Source organism: Homo sapiens, chromosome 13, assembly GCF_000001405.40.
Source record: "Homo sapiens chromosome 13, GRCh38.p14 Primary Assembly".
Classification (NCBI taxonomy): domain Eukaryota; kingdom Metazoa; phylum Chordata; class Mammalia; order Primates; family Hominidae; genus Homo; species Homo sapiens.
In genome coordinates, this window is record NC_000013.11 from 95,592,774 (window position 1) to 95,615,022 (window position 22,249).

The following is a 22,249-nucleotide window of genomic DNA, read 5'->3' on the forward strand; positions in this document are numbered from 1 at the left end:
TGCTATAAGGTAATAAATAAGAACAAACTACTGCTACATGAAACAACAGGTATGAATCATATAGATAAAATCATTAAGCAAAAGAAGATATAAAATATTACACAGTGTATGACTCCACTTTTATGAGGTTCAAGAACAAGCAAAACTAAGTCAGAATACCCTTTCCCTCCGATTGGGAAGTAGGGGGTGATACTGACTAGCAGAAAGTAAAAGAGAGTCTTCCAGAGTGTTGGAAATGTTCAATCTCATCATTTGGGTGCTGGTTATAGATCATACACACACATCCATGTACATACAAATCCATCTATATAGATAAAATTATGCAAACATGTATACCCACAAATATAGCCACATACACACATACTTCTGAAAACATACACAATCATCTATATACATACATATACATAAATGTGTATACACATATCATATACACAAATGTGTATACACATACACAGATATCTGCATACACACATGGATACATACATGTATATATACATAGCTACATGCACACATACACACTATACACATCCACGTGTGTGCCCATGCATGCATATGTGCTCACAAGCTTTGCATATATGTGTATATATGCATATGTAGATGCACTTTTTTATAAACATATAAACTAATGAAGTTCAATTAAGATTTGTGTCTTTTATGTATGTCAATAAAACTATAAAAAGCAAAAAGAATCTATATATGATATACCAAAATTATTCAATCTGGCAACAATATGAAATCCAATCCATTCATCCATTCATTCAACATGTATTAATGAAGTGCTGGTTTTGTAATAGGCAATGATTTGAGGTTAATATCAGAATGTAAGCAGCACTGTGACTGCCTAGATACAAACCCTGGCTCCTTCATTACTAGCTGTGAGACATTAATCAAGTTACTTACCTTTTCTGTAAACTGTCAAGATACTAATGTCATTTATTTCAGAGATTTGTTTCTATGTTTAAATGAGTTAATATTTGTTAAGGTCGTAGAAATGTGCCAGGCACACAGTGAATGCTATTCAAGTGTTTGATAAATAAAGTAGGTCACATTAGCCTCTGTTCTCCAAACATGGACAGAATTGATGTGCTTTCTTCTCTTCCATGATCATTTCTAATTTAGAAAACAAAACACAGCAAAACTAACAAATATTCCAAAAATGAATGAACATACTGCATTAATCCCCAAGGTTTCCAGTTTCTCCATCAAGTTCTGCTCCACCATTGTTCTTAGTCCCTTAGTGAGGGAGGAGTTACTCTTCAAAGCTTTCCTTAAATGCATTTTGTTGTTATTTAATTTCTGTTCATTTTCCCTTCCTGAAATAAGGTTTTAAAAATGTGTTAAAAAAAGAATTAAGCAAATACATCAAAAATCTCTAAGCAGAAAATGGCAAACCACAGCTTTTAAGCAGCAAGTAAGTATTTGTGATGTTTTAAAGTTTTTGGATATTTTAGTCACTCAGCACAATACAGAATGCTTAAGTTATGCAGCTTTTAAAACTATTTTATGTCGGCTTCAAAACTTCAGTATTTTCAAAGACTGGATCACTTAATCAGATGACAACTATAGATATATATGTATCTATAGAAGCATGATGGAAAAAAAATTTATTTAGGAGTTTAATGTTTTATCACTAGAATTATATCACTATTTCCTGAAAAATTCATCTCCAAGCTCACTCAGTTAGAATTTATGTATCATCTTATGAAGAAAAAGCCCAATTTACTTTAAATAATTAAAACTTTTTGGCCAGGCTCAGTGGCTCACACCTGTAATCCCAGCACTTTCGGAGGTTAAGGTGAGTGGATCACTTGGACCCAGGAGTTTGAGATTAGCCTGAACAACATAGCGAGATCCCATTTCAATTTATTTTAAATATAAAAATTTTTTTTCAAAGTTTTTTAGTTACTAGAAGCTAAGTACATATAAAATTTCAAGATGTGAAAATCATTATCCCCTTCAAAATATTTACCAAAATGAAAAAGGATAACAAAAGTCTTAGCAAAAGTGTATTTTGTTTAAAACAACCTATAATTAAAAACAAAGAAACCAAAAACAATAGGACATATTCTCCTCACTTCCATCCCTATCCCTTTTTTATTCCCCACTTAAAAAAAAAAAGTCAAGTTCAAGACAGTTTGGAGAAGAATGATGGCATAACCTTTAAAAATCTGAGTCCTTATGTACAAAGGAACAGAAGACTTCATTAAAGAGATGCGACGTTTGGCAGTTCAGACCCTTACTGACTGTCAAAAGCCTGATCTGGGAGAAATGTGACAACTATACTACCATTTTGGAGTCTAATCTCCTAACAGGGGCATTTTGCCCACCAAAGGGTGGCATCAAATGCCATTTCCTAGGTGTAGGGCTCCAGGCCACCCGAGAGACTCTCCCTTCTGCTGCTGCCTCACCCATCTCAGCAGACAGGATTCTTAATACCCATACTACTTGGATTTGCAGGAGATCTTGAACAAAATGCCTTTTTGTTTAAGATGTTTTCTAAACACCAGTTCAATTCCCACATTAAAAAATATTTCTATTAAATAAATAGATGGTTTTATTGAAAGCAAAATTAGTCAAATTACTTTTGTGTACATTAAATAGAAGAACAAAATCCTGCACAAAAATACTATTCTATGTTTTGCTATTGCAGCTTGCTAAGCTGAAGTGATAAAACTGCATATAATTATATATTAAAAGTCAGAACTAATCTTAAATCTTATATTATCAGCAATCATGCTGCTGTTTAACCACCAATGTTTACAAATATTCTGAAACCACCAAAAAAAGCACTTCTATGAACAATCCATCAAAATCATAGCTGCAGCCACTATGTCACTGGCTTTGGCTTCTAGGTGGCCATCAAGTGTGCAACTGTCTAGGGCCAAAAATAAAAAGAGGCACCGAGAGAGCCTGGAAGTCTTGGTGCTACCATTGAAATAGACATACCCCCTACCCCAATTATGTGAAGACTCTTTTGGCCAATATCTCAGATAATGAAGGACGTACACAGAAGCGTTGCCTAAAAAGAGGCTCTGGGCCCTGTTTTCTCTGGGACTTGGGGCCACATACAGGGGCAAGCGATGCCTGGAATGACTTGGTTGCAGTTAGAAGAGCTGTAAAGCCTTTGCCGTTAGTTGTTGAATTCATTTGCTGATGTGTCTGTGATCATCCTCAGCTCTGATGACAGGTTCATTTTGATGACTGAGTTCCCCAAACTACTGCAGATTACGCATTTCCCCCTGTCCTCAAATTCACCTTATATACTGGTGCTTGCTTTGGGAAACCATTTATGAATAATTAGAGCACCCTTGGTAAAGATTCTTACAAGGGTGGGGCTGGCCAATGGAAGCAAGAGAAAGAATGTAGAGTAAGCAGGGAAAAATAAAGTTTTTATGTAGAAGTGGAATTAATCACTTGAAAATCAATCACAGCTGAGGATTTTAGTTAAAGCACATATTGCTCACCAAGACCAAGACAAAACTTTCTAAAGACTAGCATTTCCTTCAAATACAAATTTTCAAACACAAACAAGCAGACGCCCAGGCTAATGCACAACAGTCCATACATGGGATCAGTTTTATCAGACATACAACATCCCATTTATGGTAAACAAATAATTGTAGCAGGAAGCAAATGATTTTTAAAAATCCTTGAATTTCTGAGTTGGAAGGGAATTTATCTACCACCTAGTAATGATAGATTTTTGACATGAGTATACTAGAAACAGCAGTAACTTCCCCAAAGGCCATCCAGATGGTCCTGTAGAGGCCACATCAGCTTCCCTTTCTCCATTTGCTCTCTGCACTAAACTATGGACAGTAGAAAACCTGGATGTTGTCACTAATTAAACTCAACAACCTGAAGCAGGCTCTTAATCCCCCTATGTTTTCTTTCTGGAAAATAAAATGCCCTCTAAGATCCCTTCTGGCCCTCACATTCTAGCATCTATAAAACTGCAAGATCAACTATGCCTTTGCTCAAAAAGCAGGTACACAGAAATATGCATGAATTACTTCTTAGTAAAAGCCACAGTGTTTTTGCAAACCACTGCCAAAATTGAGCTTCTCAGGCACTTATCTGCAAAATGTTAGCACAAGCTGAGGAATTTATTGATGGCAATTAATCTGCTGCCAGTATGTTAACTCCACAGAGGTGCTGGAAGGAGGCAGTCACTGGTTTCTGCAGTGGTGCACGTGGACCCTGGGGTGTTTTCTATGGTCCTCAGCACTCTCCTGTCTACCATCAGAGCTGAACACATGGAGCATGACAAGAGTTATTTTCTTTTCCAGTCCAGCCCCCTAAATGTGGCAGCACCCAATGGTGGTGTTTGCTGTCAGTGATTCCAAACTACCATCTTACATTGACTGGAAGAACTCTAAAAGCACAGGCAGAGGGATGCAGTGAGTGAAATCTGGAACTGGAAGTTACAAGACCACTCTGGGTGATGGTGGACAATCATGATTCCTATAGGAACCCTCACTGAGTCGTTTTTCAAATGAGTGTGAACTACATGACCTGAAGTTCTATTTTGAAAGTACGCGACGTTTTCTATGAACCTCCTGACATGTCTCACAGATTCTTCAAGGAATATGGGATTTTATATCTTGGACATCAGTAAATGATATGTATGTAGGAGAGCGGAAGCATGTTACTTGCAAGCAAAATGATGTGTCATTATTCAGAACTCAAATAGGGTAAGATTTGTTCTTCCGTTTCTGGAAAACCAATAGGGATGGTTGAAAATCACTTAAAGACAATATTTTTTAAGCACTATTTCTCTTCAACCTATAGGGCTCAGAAGCTTAAACGCCTACATAAAGCAAAGAAGGCAATGTGGGGCAAAAGAGTTGAGGGGGATTATGGCAAACCGGAGGTTGCTTCCATAGCCAGTGATGGCGGCTCAGCCCTGCTAAATGTTGCTAAGTAGACCATGCGCCCAGGGTTTCCAGGGTATTGTATTGTGGCACAAAGCAAATAATTTTAAAAAAACAACAACCAGAATTTCTGAGTTGGAAGGGACTTTATCACCTAGTGATAGATAATTAAATTGTGTAGAGATTGCACTACAATTAAATATTGGCAACCTACTGTACAATAGTTGCTAATAGTGCAGCTTGAACAAGTCAGCGTCTGTGGAATCGATTCAGCCTGCAGGATCTCGTTTGATGCCTGGGCTGTGGTGGTCTTTAAGGTGCTGGAAGTGTCTGGGAATGACCCCTCCAGCAATTTATTTGTTTAGCAATGGAACAAGGCTGAGGACCCCATAAGAAGGTAACAATATCTTTTAAAGTTATGCTCATCAGAGTACCCCAAAATTTCCCTCAACAAGTTTTTATGGCTTTATGTAATTTAATGTACCTATAGTCACTCTTGTTTCTGAAAGAAGCAGGTTTCTAAACATTGGAACAGCAATTACAAAGAAATAAGGAGGAAATGAAGCAACTAAAACCAAACTCTTCAAAATCAGTGCCAAACATGAACAACTATTGGGACAGGAAGATATGCAATCCTAAACTAAATGGTCTGTCTAAAATATACAACATCAAGACAAATTACAAAGATACATGGAAGCAAAATAAACAAACCCTATAAAAATATCAAAAAGTTACTGATCATTAGCATAGCAAAATAAGACTTGAAAGTGTATATCATATAGGTATTATGAATATGCCTGATGTAGTCAATTCTCAATTTGTAGCCTTATAAAAATAAAAATAAAATGGTAAATGTCTAGAGAACAAGGGAAGAGTTATAATAAATACTGAATTTATATATTAGGATATATATCATTTGACTTCTTTTCCTGACAAAAATGACAAAACCAGAACCCATATAAGTATTGACAATTTGCTTTCTCCTAAAGAAGTGATATATGGTGAATTATTATTATTATTAATAGGAAAAAATTATGATAGATTGATTCAAATATAATTGTTTTCAAAATCTACAAATCTAGCATTAGAAAATGTTCCTCATAATTAAACCTTTCTTCATAGACTTTAAAAACTAATTGACAGAAAATAATTTTTAGGACTATCAAATGAAATGAGTAAGCAGTAATAATTATCTCCCAACACCTGTAACAGCTCCCAAATTCCACCATAAAAATACTGTTTTGCACATAAATATTCCACATCCAGAACTTAGACATGATGCTTTTCTTGCTATTAAAAATAATTTGGAAATAAGCACTTCACCAATTCATTTCAGATTAAGGGTATGATAAATCACCACTATGATACAAATATTTTCAGATCTTCTGGTACACAACACGTGTGTGTCTATATATCATCTCATCAGAAAAATCTGCATTAAAATAAAGACAAATTTTTTTTCAAGTTCTCTGACACAAAAAATTTCTTATTTTATCTGCTTGCATAAGAATACCACAAAGCAGGGGAAAACAGAACAGAATATTAGGGGAATAGGATAACAGGATACTCTATGTGGGTTGAAAGTAAAATCCAAATCTAAATGTCTTTCCTAATTTTGATGTAGTGGAATAAAAACCACTGGCTCATATTTTCCAGGCCTAGATTTTGGCATATAAATATAATCTGTGCAGGTAAACCTGATCAAGCCCTTTGTTACCTTTTTCTTCCTCTGAAAGTTCTTCTATTGGTTCCAGTATGTGCGACGAGAATGCCTGTTCTATTAACAAGGAAAAATAAGAACAGTACAAACAGGACAACAGCAAAGTTACATTAGTTTCCTTTCAAATGATTTTGAAAGATATCATTCCATGGTATTTTAGTCATGCCTGAATAGCAAGAATTTACTGAGGAAAAAACGTTGAGGCAATCAGTCATAGATGGTCACCTTTTCATCATATCTTCGATTTCTATGTACTTTCCATTAACTACACTCTACAGAAATTATAGTTTTAAATAATTAAGTTAAAGTTTCTCATTCATCAACCTAGTACACGGTAGCCTTTTAAGACACAAGGGCACAACTGCAAAAGATCTTCATTACTTATAAAGTATTTCAATCAAGTGGCTAAACAGAAAATTAATGAAAATATTTCAACTACAAAAACATTAAAAATTCCCAAGGTCCTGGGATTCCCACTTGTTCTGGGTGCTAACCCCACGGTTTTCAAGTGGTAAGACCCAGAATATAAAAGGGGAACGACAGGCGAGAGGTCAGCAGCAAGAATGAGAGCCATTCTTCGACACCTGCATGGATGCATTTCACGACCTAGTTCTGGGGCTGGAGAATGCCCTAGCCCCACAGCTGGGCAGATGAGGAAGGACTCTTCCCAATCTCACCCCAGAATGGCAACCGCACTCAGGGGAGATGAGGTCTTTGGGTGACTATTCCCAGAGAAATGTTATATGCATACACAAGGAAGCCTGCCAGCAGCAGGTATAAAACCAAGCCCTATCCTACCAACTGAAGGAAATTTCCTTCATGGTGAAGGTCAGGTTTTAGGTGAAGGTTTAATGATGGTGGTCAGGCATTAGATATGGGATGAAATGCAACCAGCAAAGTTGGTGCATGGTTCACTCACCTTCATCTTGGAGACTGATACAGTGCACTTCCCCCCACCAGCTCTCCACTTTTACCTCCAAGGGGGAGGTCATTTCATTCTACCACCAGACCTGGGAGTGGGTGATGAGCCAGGGTAAAAATGGCCAACAGTTACCGAGTGCTCACCAGGAGGCTGGGCAGGGATCCACATGTGTGGTATCTCAGATTTAATGCTTCTTACTTTAAAGGGTCTGGTTTTTTATTCATTAAAGTATTTCTAGTACTCTATTTCAGATAGACAAATGATAGAGAGAGAGAGAGATGATAGAGATAGATAGATAGATGATAGATAGATAGATAGATAGATAGATAGATAGATAGATAGACAGACAGACAGACAGACAGGCTTAGGTATATATAAATAGGTTCTTACAGCTTAGCCAGCAACCTAGTCAATGTATGTAACATTGGCTGTATGGGAGAAACGCATCTTAAACTACTTTCAAGTTAACTTCTGGAATACAGCCTATGACTGAGTAAAATCACCTAACTGCTGAAGTGTGGACATAGCCATGAAGAAGCATTTAAGTCCAGCAGGTACCACAACTGCTGACCACCAAAAATATGCTTTTCAAATTTGTTATAGAGCATCAAGATTTTTAAAAATTATACAAATAGGCTATATTACTAGTTTGAACTGCTGAAAACAGATTTAAGGAGGATAACTAATTTCAGATTTTAAAAAGTCACACTGTATTTTATTTACTTGTGATCAAAATAAGGTCACAAGGAAACTTTTAATAAAACTTTCATGAAATAATCTCACACATATTTATTATTTTATAACAGGGATACTCCTATGACTTATTTCTCTAGAGTCAGGATAAACTGCCAGGTTCTGATGTGTTTCCCTCTGTGTACAGAGGAAGAGTTCTGGTAGAAGGGGAGACTCCTGAACGTGGCTCCCATAACAAGGGCTGGGGAAGTGAGGCTGGCCAAACCCCAGCTCCCAAAACAAGCAGGCTGATGTCCCACATCAGGAGGGAAGGACCTGCCCTGCTTGTGCTTTGTAAGCCACCAGTCTAGACTTCAAACGTCCCAGATCCTGTCCTGAGCTGAGATGCAGGGTGACAGTCAAAACACTCAGAGGTCTGAGTCTCCCATGAACTTGTGGGAGGCTTTCAAAAAAATCCTTGTCAGTTTCCTGCCATTGTCTCCAGAAGAAAGGATCTTGGTCCTCTAACTAGCCCTGCCCTTTTGCCCCTAGCTGACTTTGGCTGGACTTCATCGTGCCTACCTTAGAAGCCAACACTGGCCAGAGCTTACTCAGTGGCTTGTACCTTTCTGGACCATCACAAAGGCCACTGCAGTAGCCACAGCTGTTCTCTGCACTTGGCAGGCAAAGCCCCTAAGCCCACAGCTTAGGGGTGGGCTGTGAATCCGGACTGCCTGCTTCCAAAGTCTGGGGACTTGTCCACAAAGTGATGATGCCTGCCTACTGGCACTCACTGGGCTTGTCTTTCTGACTTCTCCAAATGCCACCGCTGTCCACCCATTATCAGAGTTCACTGTGCTCTGACTTTCCTTGGTCCTGGCCCTGGTCCCCAGTCACCTGCTCAGCCTTTCTGCCAACTCCACCAAACCGCTGGTCTGTCCACTCTTTCTCCAGTCTCATCACCACAAAGCAGACTCCCGGGGAGGAATCTCAAGTGTAGGATCACCCACACCCACAACTGGTCTCCCCATCTCAGATGGGGAGCTTTGGAGACGCTCTGGTCAGGCCAAGCCTCCCATAGCCCAGCTCTCCAATTCTGCACACCCAGCCTCAGGAACACTCAGCGGCTACAAACTGCCCCAAGAACGACCCTGGACAGCTGCAGCCTGGCACTCAACAGCTGCCATGAACGCCCTCAACCAACCTCACTTCCCTCACATCTCCTCTTCTCTATGCATGGCCAAGTAATTACTCTAAACTGCTAATTCACATCTAGTGCTTTCCTGCCACCTTTTCCTTCTTACTGTTTGCTTTGCCTAGGATGCCATCCCGACATATTCACCTCCTACTCGGCTCAAATGGCCAAATGTCAGCTACGCCAGGAAGTCTTCCCAGAGTCTCCCAAATGGAGGAAATCTCTCCCCTGCCTGGATACCCATTTCATTTCTCAGTGGCTCTCACCTTGCACCATAATTATAAGCATGTGGTCTCCTTTATAAGCTGTAAGTTCCGTGGGGACAGGCTTCGTTTCTGATTCATTTCTATATCTCTGTCATGCAGGAGTGGTCCACAGTTGTCATTACCCAGTGGTCAGTGAAGGAAGGAAGGCAAGAGTGGCGGAACACCGCTGGAGAAACAGATAACTACATGTGGCATGTTAACTCCTGTCAAAGACATGTTCACTGAAGACTCTCCTGAGCTTTTCCAGGATGTATGTCCAGGAGATCCTGTTGGCACATCCAAACATTTCCCCTTGTGACTGCACATAAGCATGGTCACCTGACAGGGATCAGGCCCACTCTCCTTTAGAGGGTGGAATCCCACTGAACTGAGACTTCCTTTCAACAGTCCCCATCCCACTTCTGCAACACTATTTGGGCCAGTGGTGTCCAGAGGGGGAAGCCATCTTTCTTTCCATCAAGAGACACAATACACCAGAAGTCTAGAGCATACCACCTGTCATGTATTGGACAATAAACTATTGCTTGTGTTAATTTTCAGTATTTCAAGATGTAGAATACTTGCTTTGAGAACAAAACATAATAATAATTGTAAAGTCTAATAAAAATGTTTCTAAGTGGGAGCGGTGGGCTCACACCTGTGGTCCTAGCACTTTGGAAGGCTGAGGTGGGAGGATCATTTGAGTCCAGGTGTTTGAAACCAGCCTGGGCAACATAATGAAATGCCGTCTATATAATAAATCAAAAAATTAGTCAGGTATGGTGGTGCACCCCTGCAGTCTCAACTACGTGGGAGGATCACTTGAGCCCAGAAAGTTGAGGCTGCAGTGAGCTATGATCATATCACCACATTCCAGCCTGGGCGACAGAGAAATGCCCAGTCTCAAAAAAAAAAAAAAAAAAAAAAAAAAAAAGAGTTTCCAGTTTTTGTGGTCCTCACTGTAGCTATATACAATTAAAGTCATGCATACATAAGCCCCTCACAATTTATAGACCAAATTAAAGGAGGGCTTTACATGTAGATAGAACCTAGCAGGTGCCCACAGACTTTGGGAAAAGCGGTTATTTTGCATCCTCACTGCACTCGTCGCTCTAAAAGTGGGCCACATTATCAGCCCAGGCAACCTAAGCAATTGGTGTATGGGTCAGTTTAACAGCAACAAAGTATACTTTATTTTCTGGGCATCCTAATACCACCATTTAGTCACTACTCCATGAGCAAAGAGCAAAGTGGTCTCCAGTGGTGAAAATACTACAAAAATTTATTTGAGGTTTGTCCAGAAAAAAAATGCATACTGGGGATGGGAATCAAGCATGATTGTTTATCTTCTCCAGAACCCGTGTTTCATCCTATCAACTGCCTTAGGATCAGAACCTACTGCCTGTACCGTTTAGCTTGTGTAGCAGAGTTGAAAGCAGGGAGCCATCAGGGTTCCCATTTTACCTAGATCCTCCCAGGACAAACGTGCTGGCAATGTTGGCTCCTAGCAGCTCACAGTGGAGTCCCTTCCAGGCTGCTTTAGCTCACCCTCTCTTTGGGGCAGCCCCCATCAGATGACAAATCAGTGCAAGGGGCAATGGCCCACCCCTGCCTCAGTGGAGGACAAGCCAGAGCACTCATCCCAGCTCTGCAGCTCTGAAGCAGGGCTGGCTGAGGCCTCCACTGTGGCTGCGTCTAGGTTCAACGTTCCCTTCGCCCAACCCTGCTTCTCTCACAGGTGCTGTCCAAGGGCACCCCCACCTCCCACCTGTAAACTTCCGCATCAGTCTGTTTCCCAGGGGACCCGACCTACAATGGTAAGAAATTGTGAGATTTTTCATGGTAAAGAACCTCATCAAGCTTCGAGATGGAACAAAGGACAGAGAGTGAACAGGCGAATAAACATTACGCAATCCATGACTAACCTGCCCTGCCCCTGCCGCCCTGGGGAAGCTGGCCTGACGGGGTGGGGGACGTTGGCGGGCCCTGGCCAAGTCTCTTCCTAGCTCCTGCCCACTGAGATGCTCACAAATAAGCTTTGATCCCCATCCAAGGGCTGTAGGCCCTGTGCCAGGTCTGGCTGGCATTTAAAACTAGCATTTCAATCCCAGCAGATGCCAGGAAGGGGGCATGACTGATTCATGCAGCTCTGGGCTAGTGAGGGTAGGGTCCCCATGAACACATGCTTTAGAAATGATCGATTTGTCCGGACCCTTGAATCAACCCCAGACAGCTTTAATGTACCTACCAGGGTGTCCTTTAGTTAGCAACAAAAATATATGACAAAGAAACTAGGAACCTTGTGTGATGTCATACAGAAAGCTAACAATAACAAAGTGGAGGGGTGGGGAAGTAAAAGAAACTAAAATACACTGTTGAAGTACAAAAGAGAAATGGCCAGCAATGCTTTACAAAGGGACGCAACAGAGAGATTTTAGACCTGACATAAAATAATATGAATACAGAATGATTGCTAGATACTTTTCTTATATATTCAATATTAAAGCAAATTTATTTATGTCCAGTGTGCTTTTATCTGTTACTGGTCTAAAGGAAAAAACTGCATGCTCTGAACACTTGTAAATAAGAAGATCAATATGTGGAGAATTTACACATTACGTATTGTGATCACATACTCAAGACAACTGACCCACCTGAAATGATCTTCGGGAAAAAAATAAGGTGCAATAAACACTTCAAGAGTCAGTGATGAGTAAAAAGGATTATTACTAAAGTTCATGGTATACAGATCACAATATCTATGAAGACAAAAAGTGCCACCATACTGACCAGTTAGATCATGGATTTAAGTGTAATCTTTTTAAAAGACCAAAAATGAAAGAGTGAAATAATCCTTGGATTCCAGAGCAACTGTATGTGAGACTGGAAAAAGATGGCCCTTCTCCCGTCTTAATTCATTTGTAATATCCAACAGAGCACAGGAAAACATCACATTAAAGAACATACTATAAAAACTGTAAGCACTTTAACTGTATAAAAAGTGAAATACGGCTACAAATATTCAGCCCATCTATTGGATCATGTTAATAACAATTATCACCCTTTTGATCTGGTCCAAGAACTGAACCCTGGTAATGATTTCACCCAGTGGTTCCTACCTATTTCCTTTAGTTTCCATCACATGTCTTTTCTAGATTTTCCCAACCAGTCATTCAAACTGTTTGTTTAGAAAAGGTGACTTGCTGCCACATTGAAAGTTATAAAAACAACCACATACGCCCTGTGGCATGTGCTGGTTGGCTGGTCTGGTAGCAGGTCACCCTCATTCTTACCCAACACCTACTACTTTCCACAAAAATCATAAATAATCAAGACACTACCCAAAGTTAAAATCTCTACTTGTGAGTCTGGCAACCTTTTATACCTATATACACCTTTTATACTTTAAGACTTTGGGAGGTATGTCCAGTTTACAACAATATTACACATGAAGACTGCAGTTTTAATAACTGTTTTGCAATCACTAAAATGTTTCCTGTTTTATTATTAATTACCTCCACATAATCACTTTTGGTTAATAAGTTATCCAACTCAGGGTGGCAACTGCACATAAAACGCTGAGACTATTACTGAAACTTACCATGCACCATTGGCAGACTTGATTTAGTTTCCAAAGTGTGCAGGGCTGGGGCATTCACTGAAACAGCATAAAAAGGAAAAACTCAGAGGTTCCATAATTAAAGCATAAGCATCCGAACATGATGGTAGCCAAATATGCCGCAAACTAGTCAAGATACATACAGACCATAAGGAACAAATATTTCAAGTGACAAAGATATTACACAACTAACATAAACTTATATTCATAACAGCTTTATGGAGATATGTTCCCCTTTTAAAAATATACAATTCAGTGGGTTTTTAGCATATTCACAGGGCTGTGCAAACACAACCACTGTCTAATTCTCGAACATTTGCTTCATCACCTCCCTCAAAATACCCATGCCCCATACCCATCACACCTCATTTCTGCCCCTTCCCTATCCCCAGACAACAATTAATCTACTATCCATCTCTATGAATTTGCCTATTCTTGACATTTCATATAGTAAATGCAATCATACAGTATGTGGTCCCTTGCGTCTGGTTTTGCTCACTTAGCACAGTGTTATCAAGGTTCATCCATGCTGTAGCATGTATATAAATATCAGTATGTATTTTTATGGGCAAATAACATTCTGTGTTATAAACTGACCACATTTTATTTACCTTTTCATTAGGTGATGGACATATAAGTTGTTTCCACTGTTTAGCTGTTATGAATAATGCTGCAATGAACATTCATGCAAAATAAACCAGTTTTAAAAAGTACTCTAATCACTGGGCTGGAAGACATTATGTGAAGGTATTAATTTAGGCACAGCCTGTGGAAAGAGGTTTACCTAACTTAAGTAAGACTCAATCCTCTCTAATTTAAATTTCTACAGAAAATTAGATTCCACGGCCTTCTTCCAATATTTGACAATTCTTATCTGAAAGTCCTCTCTGGACTATTTATTTATCCAGTTTGTTTTCACTAAACAGTATGGTCTATTAGTTTACCGCTTCTTTCTTTTATCAAGACAGACTTTTAATTCTAATCTTACCCTAAAAAATACTGGCCACAAACCTCAGCTACTTTTTTATTTTATTTTTTTTTAAAAAACACAGTTTTACTCCCGTCGCCCAGGGTGGAGTGCAGTGGCATGATCTCAGCTCACTACAACCTTTGCCTCCTGGGCTCAAGCAACTCTCCTGCCTCAGCCTCCTGAGTAACTGGGACTACAGGCATGCGGCACCATGCTCAGCTAATTTTTGTATTTTTAGTAGAGACAGGGTTTCACCATGTTGGCTAGGCTGGTCTCAAACTGGTGACCTCAAGTGATCCACCTGCCTTGGTCTCCCAAAGTGCTAGGATTACAGGCATGAGCCACCATACCCGGCCATCAGCTACTTCTATAGGTATGCATTTTTTATCTTCACAATGGCTTCTAGTGAAAGTGTTCAATTCCTATTTGTAAATTGCTAACAAACTCTGGAAATACTGCCTTTGTACCCATTTGCAACTTGTATAATCTAGATCAAGTTTTGGCAAACTATAGCCCATGAGACATACCCAGTCCACTGCCTGTTTTTATTGGAATACAGCCAAGCTCCTTCACTTACGTGTTGTCTATGGCTGATTTTGCACTACAATGGCAGAGGTGAGTAGTTGCAAAATAGATCATCTAGCCTGTGAAGCCTAATGTAAATCACTGTCTGACTTTTTACAAGAAAAAAAAAAATACAGAATACTAACTATTCCTGATCTAGATATTTTTCCAGCTTACAGAATCAAAAGATCTGATGCTATTAAAATTGATCACAATTTGGTCTTTTCTCTAAACTACAGAATTCATTCCCTTATTATGAAAGGGTAGTAAATCAGTAAATGACTGACTAGTGTCTAAATCACCAAGGGTATAGACAGGTGGAATCAACAGGTTTGACCATATCTGCTTTATATTAGACATTACAAATCTTCATTTTACTGGCTATAGGTCTGATTTATTTATTGCATATCTCCTAAGCTGACTTTCACCTTGTGATTTACTTTCTGATCTTAAACTTTAGAATGTATGTTTTCTTTTAAGTGATGAAAACTTCCCTGCCATCATTAGAACCTTGGCTTTTAGATCCTTTTGTATGCTGGGAAGAGGAATGGGACAAGCCAGGGCCTCACTCGGAAGGGACCGCTACCTATGGGGCTATGGGCCTATTTTTTTAAATTATTTTTGGAATTTTCTAGAGCCAGTGGCATCCATATTTTTTTGACCACATTCCCCAATCAGTAAAAGTTCCCCCAGAAATACACATATTTATTTAAATGAATTTTATATATACTATAATACAAATGTGTACATTTTAAAACAAAAAATGAAAAAATTAAAAGGATGAGATTTATTAATATATAAAAAGAACCTCTAATAATTTTTTCCCACATTCCAATAGATAATTTTGCATACTCCATTTGGAGAAAACCACCCTAACTAAATATAGACTTGGGTTTTTTTTTTTTTTGGTTTTTTTTCCTGCATAGATATTTGAGTTTGGTCAGCTGCTGAAGATTGTTTGTTTGTTTGAATAATTTAGTACTTGACCTTTCTGTCCTTCTCTGAAATGTGTTTTTTTCCTTCATTTCATAAGATGTAAGTTCAGCATCTCTTCCTCTCTCAACCCTACTCTGGGCACTTAAACTCCTCTCCTCTCCTTAACTACTGCTTAACTTCTTCAGCTTCAAGAAGCCTCCAAGAAGACTGAGAGGTTAAAACCATCAGCATTTTCCAGCCAATAGTGCCAAATTCCAAAACACGCTCAAGAACGTCCTTTGGTCACTACACAGTGCTCTCGCAATCCCTGGGCCCATGAGCGTGGTGCTGTCTCTCTGTGCTCAGCCTCAGCCCATACTCCTCTCACAGTCAGATCCCTGTGCACATGGCACAGGTACCTGCCCTTACTCCTTCCTGAATGGAAGCAAAACTATCTCAGCTATTTAGCTAGTATTTTTAAACAACCATCTCTCAGTTTCTCAACTGTAAAGATTATGTCCTTTTGTTTTACTGCAGAATCTTGACAGCTCCGGGAGATAGAGCAGATGGCCAGGCTGACCACAAGTGGGGACAGACAGGCCACCTGTCAAAGCCTGCAGCAGTAAAAGTGTCAGCAGTTTCAAAGTGTGGTGACACCACACACAGTCACACAGTCGCATAGTGTATCACTTTGAGAAGTCTACAAGTATAAACTAAGGTGATGCCAAGGAATTTTTAGTCATCCCTTTTTAGACAAATTGTGAAATAATAGCTATAGCTAATCAAAATCACCACAACATCATGTGGATATTTGTAGTCTTGGGTTTTAGAACTAGGTCAAAACTAAGAATCAAAATAAATCATTATGTGATCTCTAAATACATTGGTTTTCAAAGAAAAGCCTCTAAAAATAGTAAGTAAAAGTTATGTTTTGGTTTAGCATTTTAAAGATACCTTTGGAGCCCTGCATCTATTATAGGAACTTACTAGGCACAGCTGGAGCAGCTGGCTGAGATTCAAAAGCCTGCCAGGCTAAAGGATTTCCTGAAATGACAGAAAAATAAATGAACAAAAAACATCACAAGCTATGGATTAAATTTTTGTAGCCCTTATACTAATTTGAGCCCCCATAAAAAACATAAATGAAATGTACCAATATATAGCACATCACCAGGAGAATAAATATGTGTAACATACATCTTTTTGAAGCTAAATTTTCCCCAGAATTACTTTTCAGTCAAATATTTATGATATCTAGTTAATTTTGCAAATATTCCTCCCTAACCTGAGCTCTTGTTATTTGAAGAGGAGTTAAAGGGAACAACAACCCTCTTTCCCGAACTCTTTATCTCAAAACAAGAGGGAGGAAACCCAGCTCATACACCCCAGTACCACCCCTAGTTGGCATCTCTCAAATAGACAAAGATTCCTCAACAACCTGAGACGTGCAGGAACCAGGACTGGAATCACTGGGAAGAAAACTAGGCAGAAGTAAGACCCTGAACCTATGGCTCCCAGTCTCCCTTCTGGTCTCTTTTTTTATTTCTTTTGCAAAGTCAGCTCTTGCCCTGGTCTTGACTGGTTTAGTGTGTGTGTGTGTGTGTGTGTGTGTGTGTGTGTGTGTGTGTGTGTGTGTGTGTGTGAGAGAGAGACAGAGAGAGAGAGACAGAGACAGACAGAGAGTTCTTGAATGATATGGAGACAGGCAGGCTATCACTGCCGCAGTCAGTAGGTTGTGCATATTCCCATTAAACTTAGAACAAACCTGTAACCCCCAAACAGCCACAGTTGAGAATAACGCAGCAAGCCTTTATAGCACTTTAGAATAATTAAGAGTTTTTTGGTTTTTTTTTTTTAAGAGATGTGGGTCTCACTCTGTCACCCAGGCTTGAGTGCAGTGGTGCAATCATAGCTCACTGCAGCCTTGAATTTCTGGGCTCGAGTGATTCTTCCATCCCAGCCTCCTGAGTAGCTGTGACTACAGGTGCCTGCTGCCATGCACAGCTCATTTTTTATTTTTAGAGAAGGGGGACTCGCTATGTTGCCCAGGCTAGTCTCGAACTCCTGGCCTCAGGTGATCTTCCTGCCTTGGCCTCCCAAAATGCGGGCATTACAAATGTGAGCAACTGTGCCTGGCCTACTAAGAGCTTAATATCAATAATAATGGCAAACTTAATGAGGGCTTAATAGGTATATTATCCCATTTAATCCTCATAACAAGCCTATGATATAGTTACTATTTGCTATGACTTGAATGTCCCCTCAGAAATGCAAGTTGAAATTTAACTGCCATTGTAACAATTACACGGCAACAGTGGCAGGAGTGGGTTAGTTATTGAGAGTGAGTTTCTGATTTAAAAAGATGCGTTTGACCCAATTTCCTTTCTCTGTCTCATGCATTAGCTGGCCAGGTGATGCCTTGCACCATAGGTTGACCCTCACCAGATGTCAGCACCATGCTCTCGGATTTCCCAGCCTCCAGAAACCTTGTTTCTTTATAAATACCAGTCTGTGGTATGCTATTATAGCAGAGAAAATAGACTGAAACACTATTCGTATTCCTGCTATAAAGCTGAGGAAACTGAGGCAGAGATTCACAAAGCTATGAAGTGCCAGAGATGGGAGTTGAACCCAGTCTGTCGACAGACCTTGTGCTTTTACATGCATAACTCTGTTTTACAGTGTATAAGTCAAGAGGTAAATGGCTCCTAAGCAGGTATTATGTGCCTAATAGTACTCTGATTAAAAAAATGAAACAACTACATGATAGTTTAGATTTTTTAAATTCTTCACCTTTCTGGGTTGTGGTAACAAATCTCTCAAATTAAAATAATAGAGGACAGATCTACGAAATCAATACAACAAGAAGAATGCCATCTTAGCACACATAAACAAGTGGGGCCCACATTCTTCTGAAGCCCAGTGCAATTGGGGAGGTTCCCCTTGCCGCCAGTACCGGGATCCCATCCACTTACCTTTGGGTTCACTGATACTGTTTAATGGATTACAGGTAAAGTCTTTAATCTGCAAAGAAATACAGTCTTCTAGTGATACATTTGAAATTAGATAGGGACACACACATGGGATAATGGACAGATAATGTTGTTAGTAAATTAACCTTTTCACTAAATTATCCAGGGACATAGGGCATGTGGTCTTTAAAAGCATAGAGGCAGAAGTTATTACCCAAACCTCACCATCACACAATATATTCATGTAAAAAACCTGTCCATGTACACCTTGAATCTAAAATAAAATAACAAAAAATCTTTTTAAAGTTGCATTTGTATTTGGCTGCTTCTCAGAGTAATTACTGAAAGAAATTCTTACTTACCTTCAAATCAAATTAATTTTGAACTTTAACTGTATAAATCTTCAACATATTACTTTTAAATACCTTTTAAAAATGTATTTTATTGCACTAACTTTTACAAGCAATCACAAGGGGAAAAATATTCCATCTTCCTCACCTTATACCACTTACAAATGCTCTAAAGTAAAAACACATGTTCTTAGATAGACTGCGTTGCTTAAAGAAGCACGGTGCCACACTGCCGCCAGACATACCTGCTGTCTCTGAGTTATAATCAGCTCATTCTGCTCCTGGAGTCTCTGCCCTAGCTCTTCTATCCTTTTCTTATAGAAAACATTGCTTGCATTTAGATCATCTATCATTGAGGTTCGAAGTTTCTCTATATGTGACAGGAGCTGAAAAAAAGTTAAGAAAGGCATCCATCTGTAAGCTGCATGTCAAATGTCTTCATTCTCCAGATTTCAGGTATACATGCTCTGCCTGTTTTGCTAGCCTGATGCTATCCGTGCGCATCAAGTCGTTGAATAAATCTTTGATCATGGTATATCCTGGCCCTGGCTGCTCTAGGTGCTTCATCTGTGTTCCCAAGGGAGCTCACGTCCCCAAATAGACAACACTGATAATGGGAGCAGCTTAGCCAACTACAGCACATAACACGAAATAACACATGATGAGCAACGATAAAGGATTCAGGCTTCTCCTGCAGAGTGGCTCTGACCCTTAGTACTAAATTTCTCCTGCAGTCCTGTCCTTCCGATGCCCACATGGGCCATCCTAGGCCAGAGAGCACATCTTAATGTTTTTGTTGTTGTTTTTTTTTGACATGGAGTCTCGCTCTGTCACCCAGGCTGGAGTGCAGTGGAGCAATCTCGGCTCACTGCAGCCTCTGCCTCCTGGCTTCAAGCAATTCTCCTGCCTCAGTCTCCTGAGTAGCTGGGATTACAGGCCCACACAACCATACCTGGCTAAATTTTGTATTTTTAGTAGAGGCGGGGTTTCACCATGTTAACCAGGCTGGTCTCGAAGTCCTGAACTCAGTCGATCCACCCGCCTTGGCCTCTCAAAGTGTTGGGATTACAGGTATGAGCCACCGTGCCCAGCCCCATCTTAATTATTTTATATTCCCAGAAACTAGCACAATCCCTGGCCCTCAGCAGGTTCTCTGAGAAATGTTTACTGATAGATGTTTACCGAGAAAAAGAGGGGGAATGGTGGGGATTAGAGGGAAAGAGGGAGGGAGGGAAAGAAAGGGAGAGATGCAGAGGACAGAGATACAGAGACACACAGACATATTCATCTTTAGAGATAATGTCATGGAAGATCATAGACTGGACAAAAAGAATTCAAGAAGAATTTGTTTTCAATAATTGAAGGAAAGGCGCTTAAAGCAATTTCAGTAGTTGTTTAAACACAGAAGGCTAAAAAGAAACAAAGGGGGGGCGGCTTGAGGCCAGGTGTGGTGGCTCGTGCATGTAATCCCAGCACTTTGGGAGGCTGAGGCAGGCAGATCACTTGAGGTCAGGAGTTTCAGACCAGCCTGGCCAACATGGCAAAACCCCATCTCTAATAAAAATACAAAAATCAGCTAGGTGTGGTGGCGGGCGCCTGTAATCCCATCTACTCAGGAGGCTGAGGCAGGAGAATTTTTGAACCCCGGAGGCAGAGGCTGCAGTGAGCCAAGATCATGTCTTTGCACTCCAGCCTGGGTGACAGAGCGAGATTCCGTCTCAAAAAAAAAAAAGGCTTCATAATTGGGGTGAAGAACATTCCAAGTCTATGTCCTGGAAGTGGTGACAGGGTATCCTGATCAAATAAAGGAGCAGGAAGTGTCCGTGCCTGAGATGAGTATATAAGGGCACCTAGACCAGCATTTCCTCATTTGCTTGCTTTTAGAAAATTAACACTCATTGTGTACTAGATGCACTTCATTTTGTTGAATCCACACCACAATGTTATGGACACATGTTTTGGCCCCATCGTACAGATAGGAAAACTCAAGTCTAGAAAGGTAAAGTCACTGGCTCTAATTGAGACAGCCGAAGGTGGGCAGAGCCCAGACTTAAACTTTCACATGCAAGTTTCAAAGTCAGTGCTCTTTCGGGAGGCCGAGGAGGGAGGATCACTGGAGTCCAGGAGTTGGAGTTCAGCGTGGGCAATGCAGTAAGACCCTGTCTCTACAAAAAGTTTTAAAAATTAAGCTAGGTGTGGTGGGGTTAGCCTGTAGTCCTAGTTCCTCGGGAGGCTGAGGTGGGAGGGTTGCTTGACCCCAGGAGGTTGGAGCTGCAGTGAGCTATGCTCAAGCCACTGCACTGTAGCCCCGGTGACAGAGTAAGACCCTGTCTCAAAAAAAAAAAAAAAAAAAAAAGCAGTGTCTTAGCATCCTGCACAGCCTTGCCTCTGAAATGCTCTGTGCTCCTATGAGGCTGGACAAACACTGGGTGGAACCAATCTAGAAAGATTTTCCGAGTGAAACCTAAAAAGAATCTTTCCTTTCCTAGTGGATACTAAGAACCTCCCCCAAGGAGGGCATTGTCAAGAGCTTTCACTACATCTTTACAGGCCCCTGGAAAAGTGGCCTCCAAAGCAGTCTGGGAAATGCTGAGCTGGAAAATAGAAGGAAAAGCCAGTATAAATGTCCAGGCTGCTGGATGGAGGTTTAGGATCTCGGCCTTGATCAACTACATGGGGAGTTGCTCCAGGCCCCAGGAAGAAAGGAGATGTGGGAATATCTAAGGGATAACATCATTCTTAATAGAAGAGTTAAGAATGAATCAGAAAGGCACGGAAAAGAGTACATGGAGAAAGGAATGGAGAGGGTCTAGGCAAACATAGCCAGAAATTATTTTGAAGTTTGCAGCTCATGAGCCCATTTTCTGTGATCCCATTTCAAGCACTATGCATTTTTCCCTACTGGCCCACATCACCCCATCCTCCCTTCCTTCATTATGTGACCATCTGACAACCTCCCAAGCTCTCAAGAGTCTTCTGTTGGGTAAAAAGGGCATGCCATCGCTTATCTGTGACTGCCTGTGAACTCCTACCAATGTTATTTAAAACAAAAAAAATTGCCAAGAATCTAAGTAAATCAATAGAAAGTTGGCAAATGCAACTTTCCCTAAACAGAGAAATACAATATGTGCATTGTGGGAACAGCAGGCACCAATCATGTGGAATAATTAATAGTTAGGTCTCAGGCAGAGATTACTAAACCTGATTGAATTCACCCCTCTGTTAGGGTTT

The 22,249-nt window shown here is 40.2% G+C and overlaps 1 protein-coding gene across 28 annotated transcripts in view, besides 1 other annotated feature; it reads right to left on the reverse strand.

Annotated features, from left to right (window-relative positions):
- DZIP1 (DAZ interacting zinc finger protein 1) overlaps positions 1-22,249 on the reverse strand; it is a 66,505-nt gene that overhangs the window by 14,572 nt on the left and 29,684 nt on the right. For 14 of the 28 annotated variants that reach the window (XM_047430175.1, NM_198968.4, XM_047430166.1 and 11 more), the window contains 6 exons: positions 19,264-19,404; positions 18,672-18,720; positions 16,684-16,740; positions 13,230-13,286; positions 6,592-6,651; positions 1,171-1,313 (listed from right to left, as the gene is read on the reverse strand). In XM_047430175.1, the coding sequence (XP_047286131.1) occupies positions 1,171-1,313; positions 6,592-6,651; positions 13,230-13,286; positions 16,684-16,740; positions 18,672-18,720; positions 19,264-19,404 (507 nt within the window). Of the gene's footprint in view, positions 1-1,170; positions 1,314-6,591; positions 6,652-9,649; positions 9,916-13,229; positions 13,287-16,683; positions 16,741-18,671; positions 18,721-19,263; positions 19,405-22,249 lie in introns of those variants that run through there. The other 14 variants (XM_047430180.1, XM_047430178.1, XM_047430168.1 and 11 more) reach the window with 5 other exon arrangements.
- Positions 11,402-11,696: an enhancer, noted in NCBI's record as "tiled region #2339; HepG2 Activating DNase matched - State 5:Enh". NCBI's record gives its function as "activates a minimal TATA promoter and a strong SV40 promoter by Sharpr-MPRA in HepG2 cells {active_cell/tissue: HepG2}" and the evidence as "EXISTENCE:reporter gene assay evidence [ECO:0000049][PMID:27701403]".